General features: G+C 38.1%; 1 protein-coding gene across 6 annotated transcripts in view; it reads right to left on the minus strand.

Annotated features, from left to right (window-relative positions):
- Positions 1-26,171, minus strand: part of PAK5 (p21 (RAC1) activated kinase 5) — a 301,707-nt gene that overhangs the window by 212,603 nt on the left and 62,933 nt on the right. The window contains exon 1 of one of the 6 annotated variants that reach the window (XM_017027964.2): positions 15,081-15,914. The exons of the other annotated variants lie outside the window; for them this stretch is intronic. The gene's annotated coding sequence lies outside the window, so the exon portion shown is untranslated. Of the gene's footprint in view, positions 1-15,080; positions 15,915-26,171 lie in introns of those variants that run through there. 6 annotated transcript variants of the gene reach the window in all.

Below are 26,171 nucleotides of genomic sequence, written 5' to 3' on the forward strand. Positions count from 1 at the left end.
CATTAAGACAAATTATCCAAACATTATTCAGTTCTGACTTCTCAGTGTTTTATAGATCCTGGCTGTTTAGTAAATATCCAATAAAATATTTTAAGTAAATAAATTGTTGTTGAGCCACATAGATCTTCAGTTATTGAGTGCATCACCCTTTTTCATTTATGGCCTAAACATTCTACCAGAGGGAAATTACTACTCTCTTGGTGGCAGCAAATGTTTGCCTCCCTGACACCTCCTAACACGTACAAGCAGTATGATCAGACTCAACAGAAATATTGTTAAATAGTCTAATTCTATTTAACACAACTCTGCTTTAAGATAAAAGTGACATCATTTTAAACAGACAGCATGAAGCATAACATTGACGAAGGAGGCTCTAATTTTAAAATTATAGTAATGATTTTTTAAATTAATAAAAGAAGAATTGGAAAGCCAATGCAACAAAACTTTTAAATCCTTCTAAATAAATCCTCTCAATATTTGGGTGGTACTGGGCAACATAATTGTATAAAGCACTATGTATTTGACGAAATACAACTACTCATTATATGGTACTCAAAATGGTTAGCATTTTCTGTTGGAGTGAGTTAGTCATGGTTTTTATGTATAAGCAACCAAAAGTTACCTTGCTTTCTGGAAGAATAAAGTAATTTATGAAATTTATTGAAAGGATAACAGATAGCTCACAGTGTTGCCTAAAGAATAAGGAAGGACCAAAAGAAGCTACAGCAGCAGTAGATTCTATGACTAGAATTCCACCCCAACCTGCCCAATGAGGATACATATGTGCTATTAAGGGCCATGATCGCTTACACTGTAACCACCATGAGTACTGATGATAGTTCCTACCATCCCTATGGTCCCAATTGATACCACCTCCACCAATAAAATGGATTCTCTCCTGCTCCACTTCTTTACATTATAGTCTAGAGTAGGTTTATCTGATTTCCCAAGCCCAGGCCACATGTCTGTGCCCTAGCTACCAAGAAAGTTGACAGTGTATGGCATTTTTGGCTTCTGCAGTCTCCCAAAACAAGTTCTCCCAGCTAGAAAAGAGATTGTAGATATTTGGTAGCTTCCCAAAATTACAAATGTGCACTGCAATGTGTTTCCAAATTAGTCATGCTAAGAGATTATATGAATAATTACTACTGTATAGATATAAATCATTACTAATGTATACAGAATCTATGAGGTAAAAGGTCCTCTAGTGTCTTTGAAACACTATGTCTTATTCAAAATGTAGTCTTATGACTCAAAATATTTTAACACAAACACATTTAGATGCTTTCCATCTCGGGAGAGGCTTTGCAATATTCAAATTCCTCCTCCATTTCTCTCCCTCACAATGTATTTCCCAAGGCCATCATCTAATTAACAATCACAAAGATTCCTACAATACAACTGTCTTTGAAACGACTGGTTTCTTCATTAGCTTGCTTCTCTCTCCTCATCTCTTCTGATTAGCAGCTGATAAAAGGAAATCAAAAGCACCTGATACCCATTTTTCATGATGGAGAGATTTCATTTCTCTCTGAAGCATGAATAAAATTCAATTTTATAGTACTTTCTTCTCCATTTGGAAAACGAGGCTCTGAACACTGAGGCCTTTATCTAGCAAAGACCCCTTTCTGAAAATGTTTGCTTACGTTGTATCAAGTAAGCAATGGACTAATACATTTCTTTTGTAAGAGTCATCACTATATACACAGCATCAAAGGCATCTACCTTTAATTCCTTGGACCATATCAATTCTATTTCCATAACAAAAGATCATTTGTCATGATTAATACTTATGATGTGTAACTGGGTATGTTGCTATGAAAATATGGAAATAAAAAACCCATTTTAAAAGGAAAGGTTACAAGGATTCCTGTTTTGTTTTTAGTAAAAAATTCATGTAGGGAGTCTGCTCTGTAAGACATCAACAAACATTTACTTAGCAACTAATATGTGCAATGATGTGCATAATCAGACGCTGTGTTTTTCTTTTTTGTAAATGACCAAACCTCGTGAGATAGATATTGTCTTTGACTTTATGAAGCACACATCTGGTGGAAGAGATTGGCAATAACGTGTAAATTAACAAACTGAACAGTATTATGAAGGAAGTACACAAAGCTACACAGCGGAAAGTAATCAGGGGAGTCCTGCTTGACATAGGTGACTAAGGAAGATGTGGTTGTATGAAAAGAAATAAATCATATGAAAAGTTGCAGAAGCCACAAGCCAGAGGCAGGGTCAAGCAATCACAAAGTCCTTGAAACAGAAGGGGTTTGATAGGTTCCAGGACTTCTAAGGACACAGGTAAGGCTAGAACTGGGCAAGGGGCAGATCACTGTGGCAACTCTTAGACCTCAGAAAGGAGCATAGATTTATTCTAAGAGCAAGAGGAAAAAACTTATTTATATTTTCAAAAAATCATCATGCCTGCTGTGTGAAGAACGGATTAGGGATGGCCAAGAGTGGAAGTAGGGAGATAAGTTACGGAGTTACTGTGGTCTACCAGGGGAGAGATAATGGTGGCTTGGATTAGCAGTGGTAAGAGGTAGATTTAACGATATGATAAATTTTTGAGGTGGTATATATCCTATTACTCTGATTTGATCATTACACATTGTATATATGCATCAAAATATCACACATAGCCCATAAATATGTACTTATCAATTTAAAAAATTTAAAAATAAGACTAAGGAAATTGAATGATAAAATATGTAAGAATTACTGATTTAATATGGGGAATCAGCGTGAGGCAGACTGTAAAAATGACCACATTTTGCCATCCTTCCTTGTATCCAAGCCCTTGCAATGTGACTTCACAACCCCTCTCATCAAGAGGTGGAGCTGTTGTCCCCATGACTTGAATCTAGGCTTGGCTATGTGACTTGCTTTGACCAATTGAAGGAGGCAGAAGCACGCCAAAAGTTCTGAGGCTAGGCTTCAAGAAGGCTTGCAGCTTCCACCCTCACTTGGAACCCTGTCACTGGCATGAGAACAAGTCTTCTGCAATATGACAGACTACACAGAAAGTGGCCTCAGTTATCCTAGAAGTTCCAGCCATCCTAGAAGAGGGCAACCCAGACCAGCCAACCCCAAGCTGATCTCCAGCAGACCTCACACACATGAGCCAACCAGCTGGCAGCAACCTAGCTCAGCCTAGATGCACAATAATTCCCCAGACGACCTGGAGACCAATAAGTGACATAAATGCTTGTTCTAAATTGCTAAATTTTGAAGTTGTGTGTTACATAGCAATAATCTATTGTTACAGTGGGAAAGTAAAGAATCAAGTATGTTTACACTATGTAACTTATAAAAGTGCAATACCCTACTCAAGAAAGTTTGCATTTGTTTTTTTGATTAAGATTTATTATCATCAAAAAAGGCCATGCTACTCGAGCATATAGTATAATGTATTGTTTGAGGTTGGGTCTATATTAACAGCTATGACCATGAACTATATGATAAATTCCTATTCTTTAAGCTTCACATTAATAATGCCAAGTAAGAATGCAGGAGTGTATATAGAGTTTCACAGAGGAGTATTTTTTTCTTAATTCTTGGGGCCAATTAACATACAATTTTCCACTTCTTATGTTACCAAGAAGGACATTATACATACACACACAATCACTCATACTCATATCCCTCTCCTAATCCCATCATTGTATGAAATGTGATAGCCCATAAAGGGAAATCCTAATCAAAAAGCTAACAAAGAGCAAAATATATTTCTTATGTTTTGCCAAAGCCTACTGAAAACACAATCCCAAATAGGTGCTCATCTGTAGACTGTTGTATAAGAAAGAACACTGGAGGAAGACCAGAGAGACAAAGCAGAATACCAGAATATCTCTGATGGCATTTAAGCTCCAGAGCTCCTCATGGATCAAGCTGAGGCTAGACTTCACCTGAGCCCTTATTTTGTGCTTGGCTTCTCCTCCTGCCTATCCAGTTTCCCTCACTCTTTTACAGCTTTCTCCAGAGAGCATTCCCTCAATAAGTCATTTGCACAAAGAATCTCCATCTCAGGTCTGCATCCAAGGGCTCCTACCTAAGATGCCTTTTTGCAAAGTTTGATACTTAAGACTCCAATCAATTCTCCCCTTCCCATATCTTTCCAGAAAGTTTCATTTTGCTTAAGATAGTTAGCATCAGTTTTTACTTTGTTGGTAACCACTGAAAATTAGGAAATAATGTAACTGCCCAGTGAGTTCATTTTGCCCACTGCCCAGATATTAATACAACTGTGGATTTATCAAGACAGGGGAATTGCAATAAAGAAAAACTTTAATTCACCTTATTGCTACTTAAATTGGTCTCCCCCAGAATTTGGAGACTGGGGTTTCTTAAGGATGATTTGGTGGGTAGGGGGCCAGGGAGTGGAGAGTACTGATTGGTCGGGTCAGAGATGAAATTACAGGGCATCAAAACTGTCCTCTTCTGTTGAGTCCATTCCTGGGTGGGGCCATGAGACCAGATGAAGTAATTTACTGATTTGGGTGGTGCCAGGTGATCCATTGAGTGCAAGGTCTGAAAAATATCTTGAGCACCAGTCTTAGGTTTGACAATAGAGATGTTTTATCCCTAGGAGCAATTGGGGAGGTTTAGAATCTTGTGGTCTCTAGCTGCATGACTCCTAAACCATAATTTCTAATCTTGTCGTTAATTTGTTAGTCCTACAAAGGCAGTCTGGTTCATAGGCAAGAAGGGGTTTTGTTTCAGAAAAGCATTGTTATCATGTTTCTTTCAAAGTTAGACTATAAACTAAGTTCCTCCCAAAGTTAGGGCTGTGCCCAGGAATGAACAAGGACAGTTTGGAGGTTATAAGCAAGATGGAGTTGGTTAGGTCAGATTTCTTTCACTGTCACAATTTTCTCCCTGTTATAATTTTTGCAAAGGCAGTTTCAATAAGTTGTATAGAAAGGAACTCAACTACCTTTGTCTATCGGGAAATGTCTTTAAAAAGTTTCAAGAGGCAATATATCTCAGGAAATTAAATCTGTGAAAATAAAACATATGATTTTAAGGATTGCATCAGCTGACCAAATGTGATGTGTTAACGAAGATGTTTAAAAAGTAAATGTAATCTTTTCAATTACAGTTACATTAGCATGATTTCAATAGCCAAATGAAATACCCACACCCATTCAAGGCAATTATTATGTAATAAAACACTCTACTTATTATACTCAGGCAGTTAAATCCTACTGAAATAATCTTTCTGGCATAATACATGACTCCAGAAATATCCTGCATATGCAATCAGCTGCAGTAAAATCTTTGCAAGTGCCATTGCTTCAAGTTAACCTTTTTTTAGTGTCTTGAACCTCAAAAGTCAAATACACTTTGAAAACATCAAGTCTTTAAATTATTAAATGCTTTCACATTTCACCCAATGAATAAAACAGACTTAATTAATAGAGAGATCACAGCCTCACTCACATTAGCAACTCAAATAAATGCCTCATAGGGCTCCACTGGAGATATGCAAAGACACAGTCTTTGACCTGCCCTGCTGGCAGCTAGTTTTCAAAGGTCTGTAAAGTTTATGCCATGAAGATGACACAAACCATGATTCAGCCATGCATCTGACAGCCTGTGGGGAAGAGGTGTGAGCTGCCCTTAAATTAGGCATGCAGAGATGCAAAACACGGCAGTGTGTGTACACAACCCTCCTAACTAGACAGAGTTCAACTCATTTTATAGTTCAGTTCAGTTCCTAAAAAGTCTCCTGTAAATGAGTTCAAAGCAAGAATCCAAATCAAGGCTCTAATGAAAGGAACACTGAGATGAAATGCACCAAAAAGTGAGAAATCCTCTTTTAAAACCAATAACCACTATCCATCTTACTTGCTTTTCCATATGGCATCTGATTAAAGTAAGATGGCAACCCATTGCAGAAACCTGTCAACCCATTGCAGAAACAATTTGCCAAGAACCTGTTCTTCATGGCTCTTATATATGGATATGGTATTCTGTTTACTGTCTGCCTTCCCCATCACTGAAACATAGCTCCATGAAGATAGGGTTTTGTTTCATCACTGAGGGGCCACAGGGCCTGTGCTGGCCCACAGGAAGTGTTCAGTAAGTATTTGCTGGGTGAAGGGAGAAAAAAAGAGAATAAGTGAGGACTGAATTTGTGCTAATTAAATCCCAAACTCATACTAATAAAAACAGCAGCAATGCATTTGTGAAGACATTGAAAATGTTAGTTTTCAAAATACTAATATTAATATTCTATAAAATATGTGGAAGATAACCTTTTCCAGGTTTTATGTCTTGAGAAATCAGAGGAGCACAATCTAGTTGAGAAAGTAAAGCATTAGTTGAGCCAAAAATGTATCTACGTATCTGGTTCTCTGATGCATTGGGTGGAGCTGGCCTTCAGTGTAGCTCAGAGGGTAATTGGGACACATGCCCCAAATCCAGTAAATAGCAATGCAAACACTGGTGCATTCCCCTACAACTGCACTGTTTGATACAGTAGCCACACACCACCCCCAGCCTCCCATCCCGGCAGCTGCTGAGCACTTGAAAAGTGGCTAGTTTGTTGAAATATGAAATGCGTTGTAAAATACACACCAAATCTCAAAGTTCTGGGACAAAAAGTGAAATAACTCATTAACACTTTTTACGTTATCTACATGTTAAAATGGTATTTTGGATGTACTGGGTTAAGAAATATATTATTAAAATTAATTTCTCTTGTGTCTTTTTACATCGTAATTGGCTCCTGAAAAAATTAAAACAATGTATATAGCTCATGTTAGTGTCTCACATTAAACTTTTTTGGACAGTGCTGAACTAAGGCATGTCCTCTCTCTACACAGCAAAGGCCGGTTACTGCAAACATCTGTAACTTATTACCCAGAGGGCCTTTATCTCACTATGGGAACACACCTAGCCCTAGTGCAGGGAAAGTCCGTAGTGTCAAATAGTTCATGACTCTGGAAGCAGTTTTTAACTGATGGCAGAAAGAGAGCTACTGGTTACACCAGCTTTCTTGCCTTTCACTTGGGACAATTCAGGGGCATGTTCTACAATGTCTCCTAGAGTTCCCCAGCAGGATTGAGCACCAGTTGTCCATAATGGCAACTCATTTGAAAACATACTTTTCACCGAATTCTTTCCCTACCCTGTCTCATTTCTCCTCTCCTAGGTATTGCCTGGGGTTACTTCCTCAATAAACTATACTTGTGTTAGAATCCTTTCTCAGGGTCTACTTGTGGTACAACCCAAATTAAGACAATATGAAAAAAAAACTATTACATATATTCCACATCTTTTAATTCATTAAGGAGTTTTATTACAAGTCCTCATAAACCTAACAACTTCTTAAAGCTGAAGTGTAGTGATAGCCTTATGACTATCAGACCTATTTTCATGCTTATCCAAGATAGGTTGAAAATAAAATATGATGAATATAAAAAGAAAATATAAAAGTTAGATTTCATCAAATCAAATACAGACTTTAACCCCACTCTAGATATTTCATTGGTTTCCACTCAGTCCAGTCTTTAATAAGATTTTAAAGCTCTGTTCTCTTCTTCGATTTTGTTTGGGAAGCTCTGGATTTTTAAAAGAAATACCAGAGTTCAGAGGTTCTGAGATTCAGTGGAGGGTTTTGTCATATTTCAGCATGGACTTGAATCCTTAGGTCAAGTGCTTCAACATTTTCTCCCTCATAAAATGGCCTGACTTCAAGAACCAAGTACTGATGAATACACTAATGAAATGTTCCATATTCTAGGTCTTCCAAGAACATTTTTATGCACATGTATACTGATCTCCTTCATGCTGTTCTATTTTTAAACTTTTACTTGAATTCTCCTCCTCTTCTTTCAAAATACTTTGATAGTAGTAGAATCAGTTCCCTGGATAAAATGCATCCACTCTTTATTATCTCACACCACGTAACCTGTCATTACAGTGTTTTAGACGCCAAGCCTCACAGTGACAAGAACAATCAAATGTTGAATTCGGGCACAGACAAAAGTAAATATGGATGTTTGTTGCTCTTGGTATATAAATAACAGGATTCTTTGCAGAAGGAGTTTGCTTCAGAAGTTATGCTGCCCTTGGGAGCTACTTCATAGCCTTATTTGGATTGCAAGCTTTTTTATACTTTCCTACAATAGCAAATGTATGCGATACTTTCTGGGGCAACAAAGAATTGTGTGCATGCCTGCTTTTGCTCTTGAGGCAGCCTTAGCAGGGAATAATAGTGTTGCTAAGTCATTTATCTGAAAATGTGAGGTACGGATGTCCTTTCTAGCCTTATGCTTTGTGGTGAACTCATCATACTATTAACAGAAGTATAGAATCCAGCATTTTACCTCCCCAACACATGTGGCCAAAACATTAGCATAGAAGGGAGTGGCATCGAACACATGAATGTTTTCTCATGTACTGAACACCAACAGATCTCCCCACATGCCAAGCCCGTGCAACAACAGTGATGTCTCCTTCCTATCCATGCCTACCATGGGCTAGCTCAATTCCCATCTTCTATCTCAGCGAGTACCTGGAAGGGAGTACTTTGCATAGTGGTATGCTGAAGCCAGCTCGCATAGAACAGTGATAGCTGATTGCAGCCTCTTGTTTCAGCCCCACTACCATGACTTTGTGACATTGCATTGGTAGCTTGAAATTGGCCATGGTATTTAGATTTTGAAAACTTGCCAAGGCTAAAATTCAAGGCTTTCCCCCTTGGAGTCTAGGTTGTTAAATATTTATCAGTTCACCACTAAATGTGTGGGAACTAAAATGAACATAGCAGCTTATAGAAATAAAATGTGTTCTATTTATGTCCTTGCCCCAGTAAGGACAAGAAATGCCTCTGTGACATCCACAGGCTCCCTTCTTTATAAATTGTCTACTTTGTCTTCTGCCTGGAGGCCATGTCTAAGGAAAAGAAAGGCAGCAAAGTTTTTACCAACAAAACAGGCTCTGGGGCTCAGGTTTCAGAGCCCACTGAGTGTAGTTCCAGGTCTGCTCTCCAAAGGGGACAGAACCCCTTGTGACTCCAGCCACAACACAGTCCCTGGAGGAATTATGCACTAATGTAATATTTGCTTGGCTCCTAGGAACTCTTACTGAGAAAGCAAGCAAGCATTCAATATGAGAACACAATCAAATAAGGAAGATTTCACTTAACACTACGTCCTACAAGATAACAAATCCAGGAAAAGTATTAATTGAAAGGGTAGCAAGTTATATAAGATGATGCAGAATGTAGCTGGGCTTTTTAATTTTACTATCTCTTTTCACTGCTAAACATCTGATAACACCATGTTTTAATAAAATTACTTTGTAGCATATTTACATTTGTCAGAACCTGTTTCTTATCATATCCTATAGATAAGTGTTCCTCTGTTTGCATTATGGGAAACTTCTATTTGGCAAGGTGAACAGATGATCACGATCATCTTTTGAGAAGTATTCAGCTAATGTCTGCTTGTTGCCTCACACCTATGGGAAATCTAAAATTGTGATATTTCACAGAATTTAAGGGAGAGATTGTTAAAACACAGATTCCTGGCCACACCCCAGTGATTCAGAGTCAGTAGGTGAGGAGCCCATGAATTTGCATCTCTATCAAGCTCCCAGATGAAGGAAAGGGATCCTCACTTTGAGTAGCCCTGCCCTGAACAAAGTTACATCTTGAGTAGTTGGTGATGCCTGTGGTACAAGGTCGAAAAAGGAGGCTCTCCTGGTCCCATGCATGGGGCTTTTTTGAAACCCACAACGTTTACCCAAACCCAGCTACGAAATGACTCCCTGGAGGCAGGAAGAGAATGTTGCCTGGTCTCAGGAATGTTGGGTCATGGGGAACAAGTCCCTATAAGACACCAGCAGACTATTTTAAACTCTGTGTCTAGGGTTACATTCAAGTCGTAACATATACCAACCATCTCATTCTCTATTCAATATCCGCCTGTCAGCCATTTAGTCAAATAAAACCTTTTAGGAAAGAATACAGCTTTGAGCTGCAAAAAGCTGCTATCCTACTGGGAGGGGTCACCCTACGCTAATGTTTTCCAGGGCTTATATTGAAAGTGTGTAAATATTTGTAATTAAATTGAACCATGTAGCTGTCCTTCCCATGTGATGTTATTGGGTAGCTGTGACCACCAGAGTGTTATAGCAACATGAGACATATTTACTGAAAATCATAATGGCTTTCAATAACTGAAGTACTACTTTGTTTTGTGGGGGATGTCAAAAATTAGAGCCAAAAACAGAGACAGAAACTTAAAAAGCTCATTCCAGACTTTTAGGACAATGACAAAATAGTGAAAAAATCTTGAAACTTTATAATTTAGTTCTCCATGCTATTCATCAAGAGTTCCAGTATTGAGGGCTAAATGATCTACTTGATCAACAATTCATTCTGGTTAACAGCCAAAAAATGGCTCTTGTTTTCAATTCTTAGCAAAACTGTCTGATACAAATCTTCCGTTCTCCCATTTGGATAGGGACTCATAAAAGGTGTGAAGTGTCAACATTAATTCTACAAATCTACTGGGCTGCTCCTGACAGAATGGTCAGAAAAGATCCCAGAAGTTCTCAACAGAGAATTTCAAGTTTTTGATGGTTGAGAAAAAAAAAAAAAAATGTATATTTGAGTTTAGCTTCTTTTTGAAGTTCATCATCTATATCAATTCATCTGACATTTATCTTTTTTCTTTTCTTTTCTTTTTTTTTTTTTTTTTAGACAGAGTATTACTTTGTCACTCAGGCTGGAGTGCCGTGGTACGATCTCGGCTCACTGCAATCTCCACCTTCCAGGTTGCAGTGATTCTCGTGCCTCAGCCTCCTGAGTAGCTGGAACTACAGGCATGCATCACCATGCTCAGCTAATTTTTTTGTATTTTTAGTAGAGACAAGGTTTCACTATGTTGGCCAAACTGGTCTCAAACTCCTGACCTCAAGTGTTCTGCCTGCTTCAGCCTCCCAAAGTGAAACATTGATACTCTTATCACAAAATTACAGGGCCTGTTCTAAGAAGGCAGTACATTCATTTAACACTACAGAATATGCTAAGTAGTTTTCCTTAGAGCATAAGCATATAAAGTATCACTAGTGTCATTTCAGAGTAGACAAATATGTTTGACTCTAATACCACAGGCTAACCTAACGCAACAGAAGTTTAAAAGGAGAAAGTTATCTTTAGCTTTGCTTTTCCTGATCCCACTGTTTTTCAAAGAAAAATAAATATCATCTTCCAGGCCTGATGCTGTATTAACTGAATGTGCAATCCAAACACACAGAAGGACATCTCTGCTTCTGGGTGGGCTCTTTCCTGTGTTACAGGCCCGTTTAGAATCAGGTGGTGATTATTAAGAATCCCTGCCCTTGAAATATCTGTACACAAAAAACTGTAGAACACTGATGAAATTAAAGAATATCTAAATAAATGGAAGGATATTCGGTGTTCATGGATTGAAATAATTCATATTGGTAAAATGTTCATTCTACCCTGCACAATCTATAGATTCAAAATTTTGCATCAAAATTCTATCAAAATTCCAATGGCAATTTTTAACATCAGAAGTAGAAAAAGCAGTGTTAAAATTCATATGAAACCACAAAGACCCTGAATAGCCAAACCGATTTTGAGCAAGAACAAGAAGGCTGGAGGCACCATACTTCCCAATTTAAAATTATATTACAAAGCTATAGTAATCAAAACAGCATGGCACTGGCATAAAAATAGACACATAAGTGGGTAACTATGTGAGATGAAGTATATATTAATTTGCTTCACTATTGTAATCATTTTATCATCTATACATCTCTTGTAACATGTTGCATATTTTAAATACACACAAGAATTTTTTTTTAAAATGGATTGGAAGTCATACTCCACCTCCTTAAGGGTAGAGTAGCCATATAAAAAATTGTTGAGAATTCTTCTTCACAGGAAAATAAAATAAACATAGACCAATTGAACAGAATAAAAAACCAAGACATAAACCCCACACATATACAGTCAAATAATTGTTGACAAGGGCAGCAAGAATACAAAAAGGGGAATGAACAGCCTCTTCAATAAACAGTGATGGGAAAACTGAATATTCACATGTAAAATAATAAAATTGGGCCCTTCTCTTACACCACACACAAAAATCAACTTAAAATGGATTAAAGACTTAAATGTAACACTTGAAGATGTAAAACTCCTAGAAGAACACAGAGAAAAAATTCTTTGACATTGGTCTTGGCAGTAAATTTTTGGATATAGCACCCAAAGCATAGGAAACAGAAGCAAAAATAAACAAATGGGACTACATCAAATTAAAATGCTTCTGCATAGCAAAGGAAACAATTAACAAAATGAAAAGACAACCTATGGAATAGTAGAACATATTTGCAAATCTTGTATCTGATAAGGTGTTAATATCCAAAATCTATAACAAACTCATACAACTCAATAGCAAATAAAATAAAACAAATACCTAATTTAAATGGGCACAGGAAGGATCTGAACAGATATATCTCCACAGAAGACAAACAAATGGCCAACTATATTAAAAGGCACCTGACATCTCTAATCATCAGAGAAAAGCAAATCAAAATCACAATGAGATATCACCTCATGACTGTTAGAATGGTTATTATCAAAAAGACAACAAATAATAAGTGTTGGTAAAGATATGGAGAAAATGGGACTCTGGTACACTATTTATGGGAAGGTAAATTAGTACATCCATTATGGAAAACAGTATGGAAAGTTCTCAAGAAATTAAAAATAGAATTATGTGGTCCAGTAATCCCACTTCTAGGTATTTATCCCAAGAAATTCAAATCAGGATGTTGAAGAGACACTTGTGCTCCCTTGTTCACTGTGGCATTACACATAATAGCCAAGAAACGGAAACAACTTAAATGCCCATGAACAGGAAAATGGATTTTAAACTGTGGTGTATATGCATAATGAAATATTTTCAGCCTTAAAAAAAGAAACAAATCCTGCTATTTGCAACAACATGGATGAATCTAGAGGACATTATGCTAAGTGAAATAAGCCAGAGACAGAAATACAAATACTGTATGATCTCACCTATACGTGAAATCTAAAATAGGCATAATCATGGAAGCAGAAGGTAGAATGCTGATTGCCTGGGGCTGAGGGGAAGGGGAAATGGGGAAGCAATGGTTAGAGGGTTCAAAGTTTTACTTATACAAGATAAATAGGTTCTGTAGATCTACTATATAGCATAGTACCTATAGTTAACAATACTATATTGTACCAAGACGGTAGAACTCAGTGTTCTTATCACACATACACACATGCACACACATGAAATTATAATAAGAGGGGCAGGGTGAGAGGAAACTTTGGGAGGTGATGGATATGCCTACAGCTTTAATGGTGGCAGTGGCTTCACAGGTGTATACTTATCCCCAAATTCACTGAGTTGTACACATTAAATATGTATAGCTTCTTACATGTCAACCATTCTGCAAAAAAGTAGTTTTTAAAAAACCTAACTTATCCTAACTGATACAGACACATATCAAAAATAAACCAATAAGCTGTTAAATGAAAAACAAAACAAAAAAAAACAATCTTGAAGCCCAACTCTCATCTGATGACTAAACCGTGCAGATTAAGCAACAGAATGAAGTTGGTCCCAATAAGACTGATGTTTTAGCAAATATGACAGGAGTGAATTGAGTTGCAAAACTGCAGGAAAAATGGAACAAACAGTATTTTCCCGTTTTTTTTATTTTGAAACATTTCAAACTGAAGAAAAGTTGCAAGAGTGGAAGAATTAATGCCCAGACAACCTTCACCTAGATTCTTCAAAGATTAACATTTTGCCACATTTGCTTTCTCTGTATGTGTGTATATTGTGTTTATACGTACATATAATTACACATATACTTAAACACACATACACATATAAATATATGCGTATCCTTTTTTTCTGAATCACCTGAATGTACCTGCAGGTATGACACTTCACCACTAATCAACACATTTCTCATAAGACAAACCCATTCTCCTGTATAACTATGACATACTAATTGCATTTGGGAAATTTAACATTGATACAATATTATTATCAAATATATAGTCTATAATCAAAATCTCCACCTTAAACCAATAATGTCCTTTATAGTTTCATTTTCCAGGATCTGAACCAGAATCACACACTGCATTTAGTCATCATTCTTGATCTCCTTTCATCAAGGACACTGTGTTGGCTTCCATGACATTGACATTTTAAAAGAGTACAGCTGAGATTTTTCAAGACAGCTCTAAATTAGGATTTGCCTGAGTTTTTTCTTAAGATTATGTTCATAGTTAACAGTTTTGGTAGGCATACTGTGTAGATACCATTAGGTCCCTTTCTCAGTGTATCGTATGGGGCACATGGTTTTAGTTTGCCCCATTATTGGCAATATTAAATTTGATCAATTGGAAGAGGCAATATCTGCCAAATCTCTCCATTTTAATGCTACCTTTTCCCCTTTGTAAGTAATAAATGTGGGTATATCACTTTGAAGCCTATGCAAATATTCTCTTGCTCAGCACCCTTTAGCCCAGTGGTTTTAGCGTCTGTTGATGATTCTTACCTACATCAATTATTACTACGGTGATGGTAAAATAAGCATTATGGCTGAAGGCATTACCTATACTGGAGATTATAGTCCAATATAAAAGCCAATTAACTCATATATAGAAAAGAGTCTTCATTAGGATTGATCTTGTTATTGCTTAAGAAACAGTTTCTTCTATTTTCTGAGATAATGCATTACTGGTGGATAACTTCGAGTACAGTTGTGGTTATTTTTCTAGAGTAACTGGATATATGTTAGGGTGGAAATGCATAGAACTAAATATTTTTAAAGGCCCATTTTAGGATCTTTAAAAAATAACAGATGGTTCTGAGTGGATGGTCTCTGTGGCAGAGACATTTACAGTACATCATATACCCACAGATTTACCAATTGTCCTTGCAGTTGGGAGGGACCCAGTACCTAGCTTTAGGCAATGACCTATGAGTGGAATTGATAAATCACTTTTGCACTGAAGGTATTACAAGCACATGTATAACCCTCACCTGTCTCCTTTGCTCCAGCGGTGACCATGGAGACTGAGTATTGAAATAATGAGCCATAACATGATGCTGTCCGGGTTGCTAAATCATTGCATGAAGAATAGCTGCACTGGAGAGTTTCTTGACCTGTAGTGGAGTTTGCATGAGTGAAAAACAAACTCCTATGGGTGAAATGCTAGAATTTGGGGATTTTTTTTAACCACAGTATAAATCTAGCCTATCCTAATAGTATCTAAAAGCCAGTTTTCATTTTCACCAATAATCTAAAATTTATAATAATCATCTTTGGGTTAGGATAGTAGTTTATTAATTTATTCATAGTAGTAACTCAATAATTGGTGCAAAAATACTGATTGCCTATGGAACAACATTTCCTATCCCTCCCTAGCCTCCATTTTTTTTTTCTGGCAGAGCCAAATTCCAATTATAAAAAGTGAAAATGTTAGCTATTTTCTGTGGCATTCTGGAGCTGGCTAACACTAATTCTATGAGAGCTGTTTTTGCAAGGTGGTTGATATAACACTGGTAGCTTAAAACTGGCCATGATGGGAGTATTCACACCAAGAAACTGCAGATGCTGCAAATCAACCCTCCTCCCATCAAGCCGCCCTCTCCCTGCTTCTCCCTGCCCAACCCTCCTGCTAAGAGCTAGTTGTTGAACATTTAACAGCACATTCTTAGATATTTTCTTTCCCAGGTTCTACTGCAAATAGGAAGGGCATGTGACCTAATGTTGCCCAAGAAGACTTGAGAGGAAATTAGATACAGGACTTCAAAAAGTCAAAAGAAATGTGTATATATGATCACCAAGAGACATGCACTAGAATGCTCACTGCAGCACTACTCATAACCCCAAACTGGTTACTGTTTAAAATGATAACCAAGTAGAATGGGCTGGGCGTGGTGGCTCACGCCTGTAATCCCAGCACTTTGGGAGGCCCAGGCAGGCAGATCACGAGGTCAAGAGATCAAGACCATCCTGGCCAAAATGGTGAAACCCCGTTTCTACTAAAAATACAAAATTTAGCTGGGTGTGGTGGTGCGAGCACGTAGTCCCAGCTACTCGGGAGGCTGGGGCAGAAGAATCACTTGAACCCGGAAGGCAGAGGTTGCAGTGAGCTGAGATTGCGCCACTATACTCCAGCCTGGCGACAGAGCAAGACTCCATCTCAAAAAGGAAAAAAAAAGAAAAAAATATATATATATGTTCTAATTGAATATATATATATTCTAATTGAATATATATATATTCTACTTGAATATATATATATTCTACTTACTTGAATATATATATTCTACTTACTTGAATATATATATATATTCAAGCAGAATATATATGTATATATATATTCAAGCAGAATATATATGTATATATATATTCAAGCAGAATATATATGTATATATATATTCAAGCAGAATATATATGTATATATATATTCAAGCAGAATATATATATATATATATTCAAGCAGAATATATATATATATATATATATATATATTTTCAAGCAGAATGGACAATGGAATACTATGGAGTAATAAAAATAATTTACACACAAAAATGGCTGTGAATCCCACAAACATAATGAGTAAAAGAAGCCAACATGAGACAGTACATAGTGTGAAGTTCCATTTAAAGTTCAAAAGGTTAAAATAGGTGAAACTAATCTAAGATGTTAGAAACTTAAAATCATGCAACTAATTACATTTGGAGAAGGTAGTGATTGAAAAGGGGCATATGGGAGACTTCTTAGGTACTAATGATATTCTGCTTTTTGATTTGAATGCTGGATGCATTCAGTTGTGAAAACATATCAAGCTATATATGCCTAACAATATGTGCACAATTCTTCATTAAAATGTTTTTTTTTTTAAGAGAGAGAAGAGACAAGAGAGAAAAGAGACAAACTTTGTTTTCCTTCCAACATTAGGATATGCTCCCACAAGATGCTGATGCCTGACCATGGCCCCCACGTTCGGCCAAAATACACAGACCTGAGGGTATATATTGACAGACTGCGGGGAGCTGGATTCTTGGCAGCAAGGCTGAACCACTGCACCAATCTTGGGACCCCTTCCAGAATTCATTTTAATAAGGATGATTTTTATCAGGCCACATGCAGTTATGTCATCAAAATTACTCATTTTGATTTTGGATACAGGCAGCCTTTGATATTGCATGGAGGAAAATTTTGAAAGATGAGATCATAAAGGAGAATAATTAACCTATTTAAGTGAATAATGTTCAATCCTGGATCAAATAATCAATGAACTTATCCTCATCATTCTATTTATTAAATCAGGTCCGCTAAGGTCCACTCACCTGTCTGCTTAAATGTCACCTCCTCATTAAAAGCAGAGTTCCTCACCCAGCCACATGGGTTCCTTCTATTGCCTTCCTTTGTTTTAGCACATCTATGTGTCTGAAATTCTATTATTTGTCTATGTTTCTTTTCTAGGACATAGGCTCTGTAAGAGTAGAGACCTTTCCCATTTCATTTAATGTGGCCTCTCTAGTATCTAAAACTGAGCCTAGCAGAGTGGGCAATCCATAAAAGTGCCCATTTCCAGGCAATATTTAAGCTTTCTGTAGAGTACCTCTTGGATAGTTTGGGGTTACCACCTTCTCTGGTTCTTCAGTCACCCCCTTGCCTCCCTCTGCTTCTTGCTGCCACATTCAGCCCATGCAGGTCAGTGGTATTGGGGGTTTGTCCCCTTCTCCTTGTACCTGGGATTCTAGGGGATATTTTTTCAACTAGTTTTGTTCTAAACACTTCCATGATAACAACGACATGGAATCAACCTAGGTGCCCATCAATGGTGGACTGGATAAAGAAAATGTGGTACATCTGCACCAGGGAATACTATGCAACCATAAAAAAAGAATGAAATCATGTCTTTGCAGCAGCATGAATGCAGCTGCAGGCCATTACCCTAAGTGACTTAATGTTTAAAAGATACAGTTAGGGAAGCATAGTCCTTGATCTTTTAAAATCCTCTTATAGAAACAGGGCAATTAGACACCAAAACTGAAAACCTATGGACAACTTTTATTTTTTTAATTTTTGATTACTATGGGCACGTAATAGTAATATAATCTTTAATTCTTTTTTTCTTCCTGTTTAAGTTATACCAGGGTCTTCACTTTTTTTTAATCTAATTTCAACTTTTATTTTAGACACAGGGGTACACGTGCAGGGTTTAGAAAACCAAATCTCACACTTTCTCATAAGTGGGAGCTAAACATCGAGCACACATGGACATAAACATAGGAACGATAGACACTGTAGACTATAGATGGGGGAGGGAGGGAGGAGGCTGTGGGTTGAAAAACCACCTATTGGGTACTATGCCCATACCTGCTGCAATATACTCATGGAACAAACCTGTATATGTACCCCCTGTATCTATAATAAAAGTTGAAATTAGAAAGAATAAATAAAAAGTAAAGGGGCCAGGCGCGGTGGCTCACACCTGTAATCCCAGCACTTTGGGAGGCCAAGGTGGGTGGATCACTTGAGATGAGGAGTTCTCAACCAGCCTGGCCAACATGGCATAACCCTGTCTCTACTAAAAATACAAAAATTATACGGGTATGGTGGCGCGCGGCTGTAGTCCCAGCTACTGGGAAGGCTGAGGCAAGAGAATCGCTTGAATCCAGGCGGCTGAGGTTGCAGTGAACCAAGTTCACACCACTGCACTCCAGCCTGGGCAACAGAGCAACAGAGCGAGACTCCATCGCAAAAAAAAAAAAAAAAAAAAGGGAAAGAAAGAAAAAAAAAAAACCATAAAGAAAACTGGACTCTGGCCTAACTTAAACAAGAAGGGAGGGAAAAAAAGAATGAAAGAATATATGACTATTATGTTCCCATAGTAATTAAAAATTAAAAAATAAAAGCCCATAAGTTTTCAGTTTTGCTATCTAATTGCCCCGTTCATTTCTTTAAAAGGATTTTAAAAGATCAAGGACTATGCCTCCCTAACTGTATCTTTTAAACAATTTCAAAACAATATAATGACAAGCATCCCTTTAACACAGTGAGAACACAGAGTTCTAACTTACTAGGCCGAACTTCTGACTAATCAAAAGTACAGCACAGCAAATCTAGTGCAATTAATATCTGTTAGAGATGTGAAAATACAGACATATGGGGGCATGACTTGGCCCACAGCATAAACAAATTGACATTGAAGCAGGACATATTTCCAGCTGTGTGGAGATGAAGCTGTCTTCTCTCCTAATCAGTATAGCGAATATTATCTGTTAATTCTGCCCATGGATAAAATATGCCATTGATACACAAGGCAGGGGTTCTAATAGTTCCTCTACATCCCTGCCAGTCTGCATAACTACACAGGTGTCTCTGTGACATGCTCTACCCTTTAGCTATCCATGCTAAAAATACTTCTTTGCAAAAATTGCCATAGGGCGATGACTTTGACTTTGATATAATTTATCATGTGGCTATCACTTTCCCCCATCTTTTTTACTTTCAATGATGCTCTGAACTCTTCCCCTCAAAATTGAATCTGACAATTGCAAACTAAAGAGATTTAAAAGAACAAATGGTCTTCCAGCTTCCCTTCAAGCCCGGTTAGACAGACTTAATATACCTTTAGCTCAGCTATGGGCTAGAGAGCACATCTAAGGTAGAGAGCAAATTGAAATGCTCCAACAAAGGTGATGGGATGGAATGGCTTCACCTTTTCTCTAAATATTTGGCTGCTTTTCCTCTTCTTTTAATCAGTGTTAAACCACCAACCAGCCATTCTCCATCTGATATGACCTCTGGCATTGAAATGAAATATTTATAGAGAAAGGAGCTCTTTAAAAACTAAATATGGTACAAAGAAATTAGCTAGTAGAAGAATATAGAACTAGGAGAATGTGTGATGTTATCCTGCAGAAATGTGAGAATAATTCTTTTGAGGAGTTTTTTCTAAAGGGCAGTAGAAAAGTAGGGTGGTAGCTGGAGAGGCCTAGAGTCAAAAGAGTTTCTTTTTTAGATGGGGAAAAAATAGAGCTTATGTGTATGACACAGAAAGGCCAACAGATAATGCAGGAGAGGGGGAAGAGTTGCCAGAGTGATGTCCTTGGGCAGGCGAAAGAGGACGGTCGACTTCCTAAGAGGAGGGCTTGGACTCTGCAGGAAGCACAGGCAGTTCATTCTAAGAAAAAGAAATGTAGGCAGAGAACATGAGCGCAGATGAGTGCAGATGTGCGGTTGACAGTGCGATGATGGGGACATGGGGATGTCTCATTCTGATGGCTTCTATTTTCTTAAAGAAACAAGAAACAAGAAAATCAGCTGAAGGTGAAAATGAGGGAGAAGATAAGGTATAAAATGGTTACCTAAAAGAACAGGAGAGTAAAGGGGCTCCAGAAACATAATCTGACTACTCGGCAGCTCTAAGGACCCATGCGTGGTTTGTAGTCATGGCTGTAAAGTGAAACGAGCCAGCACAATGGTGTGTTTCACTCCATCTGTGTTTAGCTGGGTGAGTGTAGGCAAGATGGGCATGAAGAGTTGAATGTAATCTGGGTTAGACTTTTGCCAAGTGATTACAAAGGAAGGGGAAAGGAGCAATGTGTGCCTAGAAAATGCAAGACAGTAATTAGAGTAATGCAGAGTAAAATGTGAGCTGAAACAGTAGAAAATTGGGACATGAAGAGAGTGAGAGACAACAGAAAGGGGGTAGGATGCATGGACTTCAGGTCACAGTGGGGTTGAAGAATCGTTGGAGTTGAGGCCCTAAAGGAAATATGAGCCCTCAAGAAGTTATCCTCAGTGCCAAGTTGGACATCAAGTTGTCAAGGATAGATAAACAGCAAAGATAGTTACTCTATTGTTCATGGCTGCCATAGGGACAAACAACTCAGATAGAGCTGTCTTAAGGAAAAAACTGTCCAGCAAGAAAGATTAGAAAAGGACAGAGGAGACTCCTGGGTATAAACGTAAGAGAACATGAATATAAGAAAGCAAGATGTCACAACAAGAAAAAACATCCTTGAAACAAGACTTCTTATAGCAGCCATAGCAATGACCAATCTTCATAAAACTTGTGGGAAAGCTCCTATAATTTATCTAGTCAAACCCATTTTACAGACGAGTAACTAAGACCCAAAGAGGTGGGAGGATCTGCTTAAAAGCCACATAGCCCTAACAGAGATAAGATATTTTGACTCACTTTTTGATAGAGAACATTATTGTCTTTATGTAGGCTGAACTATATGAAATTGACCTATTATATGTCAAAAATGGTTGAATCTTGCCAACTTCATGTCATTCAACCTAACATACTCCAGTTTTCTTTCTACTATAGCGGAGTGTCAAGAAAGAGCAGATCTATAATTTAAAAAAATTTTTTTTTTTTTCTGAGATAGGGTCTTGCTCTGTCACCCAGGCTAGAATGCACTGGTGTAATCACTGCTCACTGCAGCCTCAAACTCCTGGGCTCAAGGGACCCTCCCACTCAGCCTCCCAAGGAGCTGGGACTACAGGTGTGTGCCACCACATTCAGTCAATTTTTTAATTTTTTTTTTTTTTTTTTGTAGAAATGGGCGTTTCACTCTTTTGTCCAGGCTGGTCTTGAACTCCTGGCCTCAAGTAATCCTCCTGTATCAGCCTCTCAAAGTGCTGGTATTACAGGCATGAGCCACCACACTTGGCCTAATGAATTCAAATATTTTTAAAATAAACTATTGCCATCAAGGAACAGTGGCTCATGCCTGTAATATCAACACTTTGGGAGTCCGGGGGAGGGCGGATCACTTGAGCAGGAGTTTGAGACCAGCCTGCCCAACATGGCAAAACTCTATCTCCACAAAAAATACAAAAATTAGCCAGGTGTGCTGGTACATGCCCATGGTCCCAGCTACTCAGGAGGCTGAGGTGGGAGGATTACTTGAACCCGAGAGGCCGAAGATACAGTGAACAGAGATCGCACCACTGCATTCCAGCCTGGGTGACATAGTGAGACCCTATCTCAAAACAATAAAAAACAAAAATAAATTATTACCCACTTCTTGTACTCACTTTCTTATTTTATCAAGAAAATGTCTGCAGGCAGCTATGGGAGTTAACAGCAACAAATTTCCGAAAACTAAGGTTAAATTTAACCTCTAGTGAAGAAATGATAAAGAATCCAAAGGTAATGGATGAGAGCAGCCACCTGGAGCTATGACCAAGAGATTAGTGGTGACCCTCAGAACTAAAATAAGATGAGCTGGGGGAGGTATAATTGGATGATTATAAATATAATTCTTACAGATAAGAAAGTGCACTATTAGGAGAAGGATGATCAGCAAGGTGTCTATAAAAAGAAAAAACAGAGTCAAATCCAAGAAAGAGGGTTTTGCAGGAGTCTCTAGACCATCCCTGTGAAGGAATATCCCCGCTAGGGGATGTATGCCATTGGTCAGAGGTCAATGACACCAGCCAGGAAGCTCATGTCACCGGCTCTAAACGCCCCAGTCTCCTTGTGAAGATAATCTGGCTTCCCATTTGGTTATGACCATAAAGAAGCTGCCACTGTCAAAGCACACATAGTTGGAATTTCTGGTGGTTGTATTTCTCATAGAATATTAATAGATCAGCATGATTGCTTTTCATGCATTACTCCCTGTGTTTGGTGGATGTGGTTAATGTGAATTTACATTTGCGAAATAATGAAGTAGATGTTGTCAGTGCCATGCATATCCCCTGGGTCCTCCAGCAGAGACTTTCCTCCTATTTCAAGGCATCCCTATTCTTCTTGGCCCAATAGTCAGGCAGAATGTTCAGGGAAGGCTGGATGTGTCAGGGAGTTAACACTCCAGGAGTGACCCTCAACCAATGAAGGGCACATGTTGGTTGAAAAATATTCCAACTTCCTCACCCCTCCATGGGAAACTGAGGCATTGTCTCTCCTTGAAGGTTTTCAGGAGATCTGCTTTTGAGGAAACTCAAACTAAGAGAGATAAATCCTCATGATGAGAAGTCAAACTTCTCACTCTTCAAAATCAAACCAGGGCTATGATGAATTCAACAGGGTGTAGAAGGCCATCCAAGAAGATCTCTCTGGAAGACAAGCTGGCTTTGCCTAAAGAAGTACAACATGTCCCAAAGCTCATGCAAGTGTACCATCTCCACTTGAATAATCACAGAAAGAGAAGTGGCTTTTGCTTGCATTGGTTCTCTTTAAGTTCTTTTTTTTAATTATCATTATACTTTAAGTTCTAGGGTACATGTGCACAATGTGCAGGTTTGTTACATATGTATACATGTGCCATGTTGATGTGCTGCACCCATTAACTCATCATTTATATTAGGTATATCTCCTAATGCTATCCCTCCCCCTTCCCCCGACCCCACGACAGGCCCTGGTGTGTGATGTTCCCCTTCCTGTGTCCAAGTGTTCTCATTGTTCAATTCTTAGACAGTGCATGAGTTTGGTAAATTTCACTTCTATTTTTCTGGAAGTCACCCTTCTTATAACTAGTTCATAAGTGAAAAAGGAAAGCCCAAAGCCAAGTTACACATTGACTTGATGTGGCTAGGAAGTATATGAGAAAGAGAAGAGAAAGAAAAGAAGATAAAAGCACAGGACAAGTGGGGGCAGAGAGTGGTAAAAAGTCAAGTCCGTAGGCATCAGAGTAGATGTTCGCATAATAGACGGCAGAGCTGGAGCCTTGGCATAACTATGGCTAAGTGCCTTGTATATTTTATTATTTAATTCTCACAACAACACTACAAGGTTGTTACTGTAGTTGTCCCATTTTGCAGGTGAAGAAAACAAGGCTTGAGGTGAGTCTAAGGTAAAGTACTGGTCAGCAGCAGAGTTACGATGTGTGCTCAGGCAGTCTGAGTCCTGAGTTCATGCTTTGCAGTAACTGTTCCCTATTGCTGTTTTCTCATACTGGACAGAGCACTGGACAGTGAGGGAAACTTATGTTTCAAAAGGTTATATTTCAGAACAAGGGCCAGAATGAGGAGGAGATGGGAGATCCACAAAGCAAAGCAGGATATGGGGTCAGACCCGCTTACTATGGTAAATGCTTTCTTACATCGCCATGGTAAGAAAGTGTCAATCTGGGACTACCTAGGGTGCTGAAGACCTGATGCAGTTGAACACTTCATTCAGTGTGACACCTCACTCCATGGGAACACTCCCTACTGAAAGAGCTTGGGGGAAAGGAGGAACAGATACAGTCCCAACACTTCTCTTCTGAAAGTAAAGAATGAAAGCTATGATTGGAGAAAACACGAACATGCACAAAACTGTGATAGAGCAAATTGTGGATACTCGCTCACACCTACCAGAATGCCTAACAGTGAAAACACAGCCATTACCATCCCTGGAGTTGGGGAGCCGCTGGACTTTTCATACATTGCTGATGGGAGTATAAAAATAGAACAACCAATTTTTTAAAGCTTGGCTTTTTCTTATAAAATTAAGCATCAGCTTTATTATCTAGCAATTATATTCTTCAGTATTGATCCCAAAGAAAAAATGTACAGGATTATTCATGGCAGCTTTATTCATGATAGCTAAAAATTGGATATAATCCACATGTTCTTCATCAGATGAATGAATAAACAAACTCTGATATAGTCATACATTGGGATACTACTCAGCAAAGCAAAAAAGAACTACTCACTAGAGGAGCTGACGGACGACCAAGGTGGGCAGATCACGAGGTCAGGAGATCGAGACCATCCTGGCTAACATGGTGAAACCCCGTCTCTACTAACAAATTAAAAAAAAAAGAAAGAAAAATAGCCAGGTGTGATGGTGGGCGCCTGTAGTCCCAGCTACTCGGGAGGTTGAGGCAGGAGAATAGCGTGAACCCAGGAGGCGGAGCTTGCAGTGAGCCAAGATGGCGCCACCGCACTCCAGCCTGGGCGGCAGAGCGAGACTCGGTCAAAAAAACAAACGAACGAACAAACAAAAAACTACTCACATACAACAATGGATCTCAGAGGCATATACTAATAAGCACAGCAGTATGTACTTTCTAGAAGAGGCTATACTAACTAAAGATGACAAAAGTCAGATCAGTGGTTACATTGGGGGTGGTAGCAAATGACTGGAAAGAGACATAAGGATCATTTTAGAGTGATAGAAATGTTCTATCTTGGTTGGGGTGTGGGTTATACATATTTATATATGTGTCATAGGGCTATAAAATTTAGATCTATGCCTTTCACTGAATGTAAATTACACCTGATTTTTTAAGGGGAAAAAAAAGAGCTGCGTCGGTAGACTCACTCATAATGATACCAAGTTTCAGGGCAGCTTGGTAAATTCTTCGCTCAGTTTCTGATTCAACAAAAGCTGTTTAGCAGTACTGTTCATTCCACCCACAGGGTCCCATGGCCTCATTTCCCTCCACAAAATAATTTCCCAAATTCATTCTGTCTGCTGTCATTTTCCACAAGAAAAAATGGTGCAACTACAGATGAGCCTTGTGACTTTCCTTCAAGTACTAAATATTATCACAGTTTTATTTTTTATTTTATTTTTATTTTTGTGGGTACACAGTAGGTATGTTCTACAAAAGACCCTCATTTTCAATTAGCAGCAAAGGGCAAATGTATTAATGCACCTTAACCAAGGTAATTATTACAATCATATGCTTTTTACTAGTAGATCAAAGCACAAAAAGCATAAATCTTGAACAAGTATGTATCTATTTATGGGGTAACATACTTTTCTTTTAGACAGAATAGTGAATCTAAATTGCAGTTGTACCTCTTATGCTAAGGAATCTTCCTTCCAATTGGCCCATTTGTTAATTTCCCCTCCATAGGGACATATTAGAATTCTCTTGGGAAGATCTAATAGAAATTATGCACTAATGAAAAAATTCTTTAAATCTAAGATAAATTGATTTTTCTTCGACATGTAAATAATTGAACATATGATTAATTCATTATGAGAAAGTTAAATAGAAAATTTTGGTATCATGTAGTAAAGAAATAGTGATTCTTGAAAGTTTTGGGGAAAGTGAAAAGATGGAAAAAATCAGAGAAACTAGAATTTGAATGCTTATCTTGTGCTGAATGCTTGAAGAAGTGCTTTATATATGCAATTTCATTAATCCTCATAGCAT

The sequence above is a fragment of the Homo sapiens genome, chromosome 20 (assembly GCF_000001405.40).
Source record: "Homo sapiens chromosome 20, GRCh38.p14 Primary Assembly".
Lineage (NCBI taxonomy): Eukaryota > Metazoa > Chordata > Mammalia > Primates > Hominidae > Homo > Homo sapiens.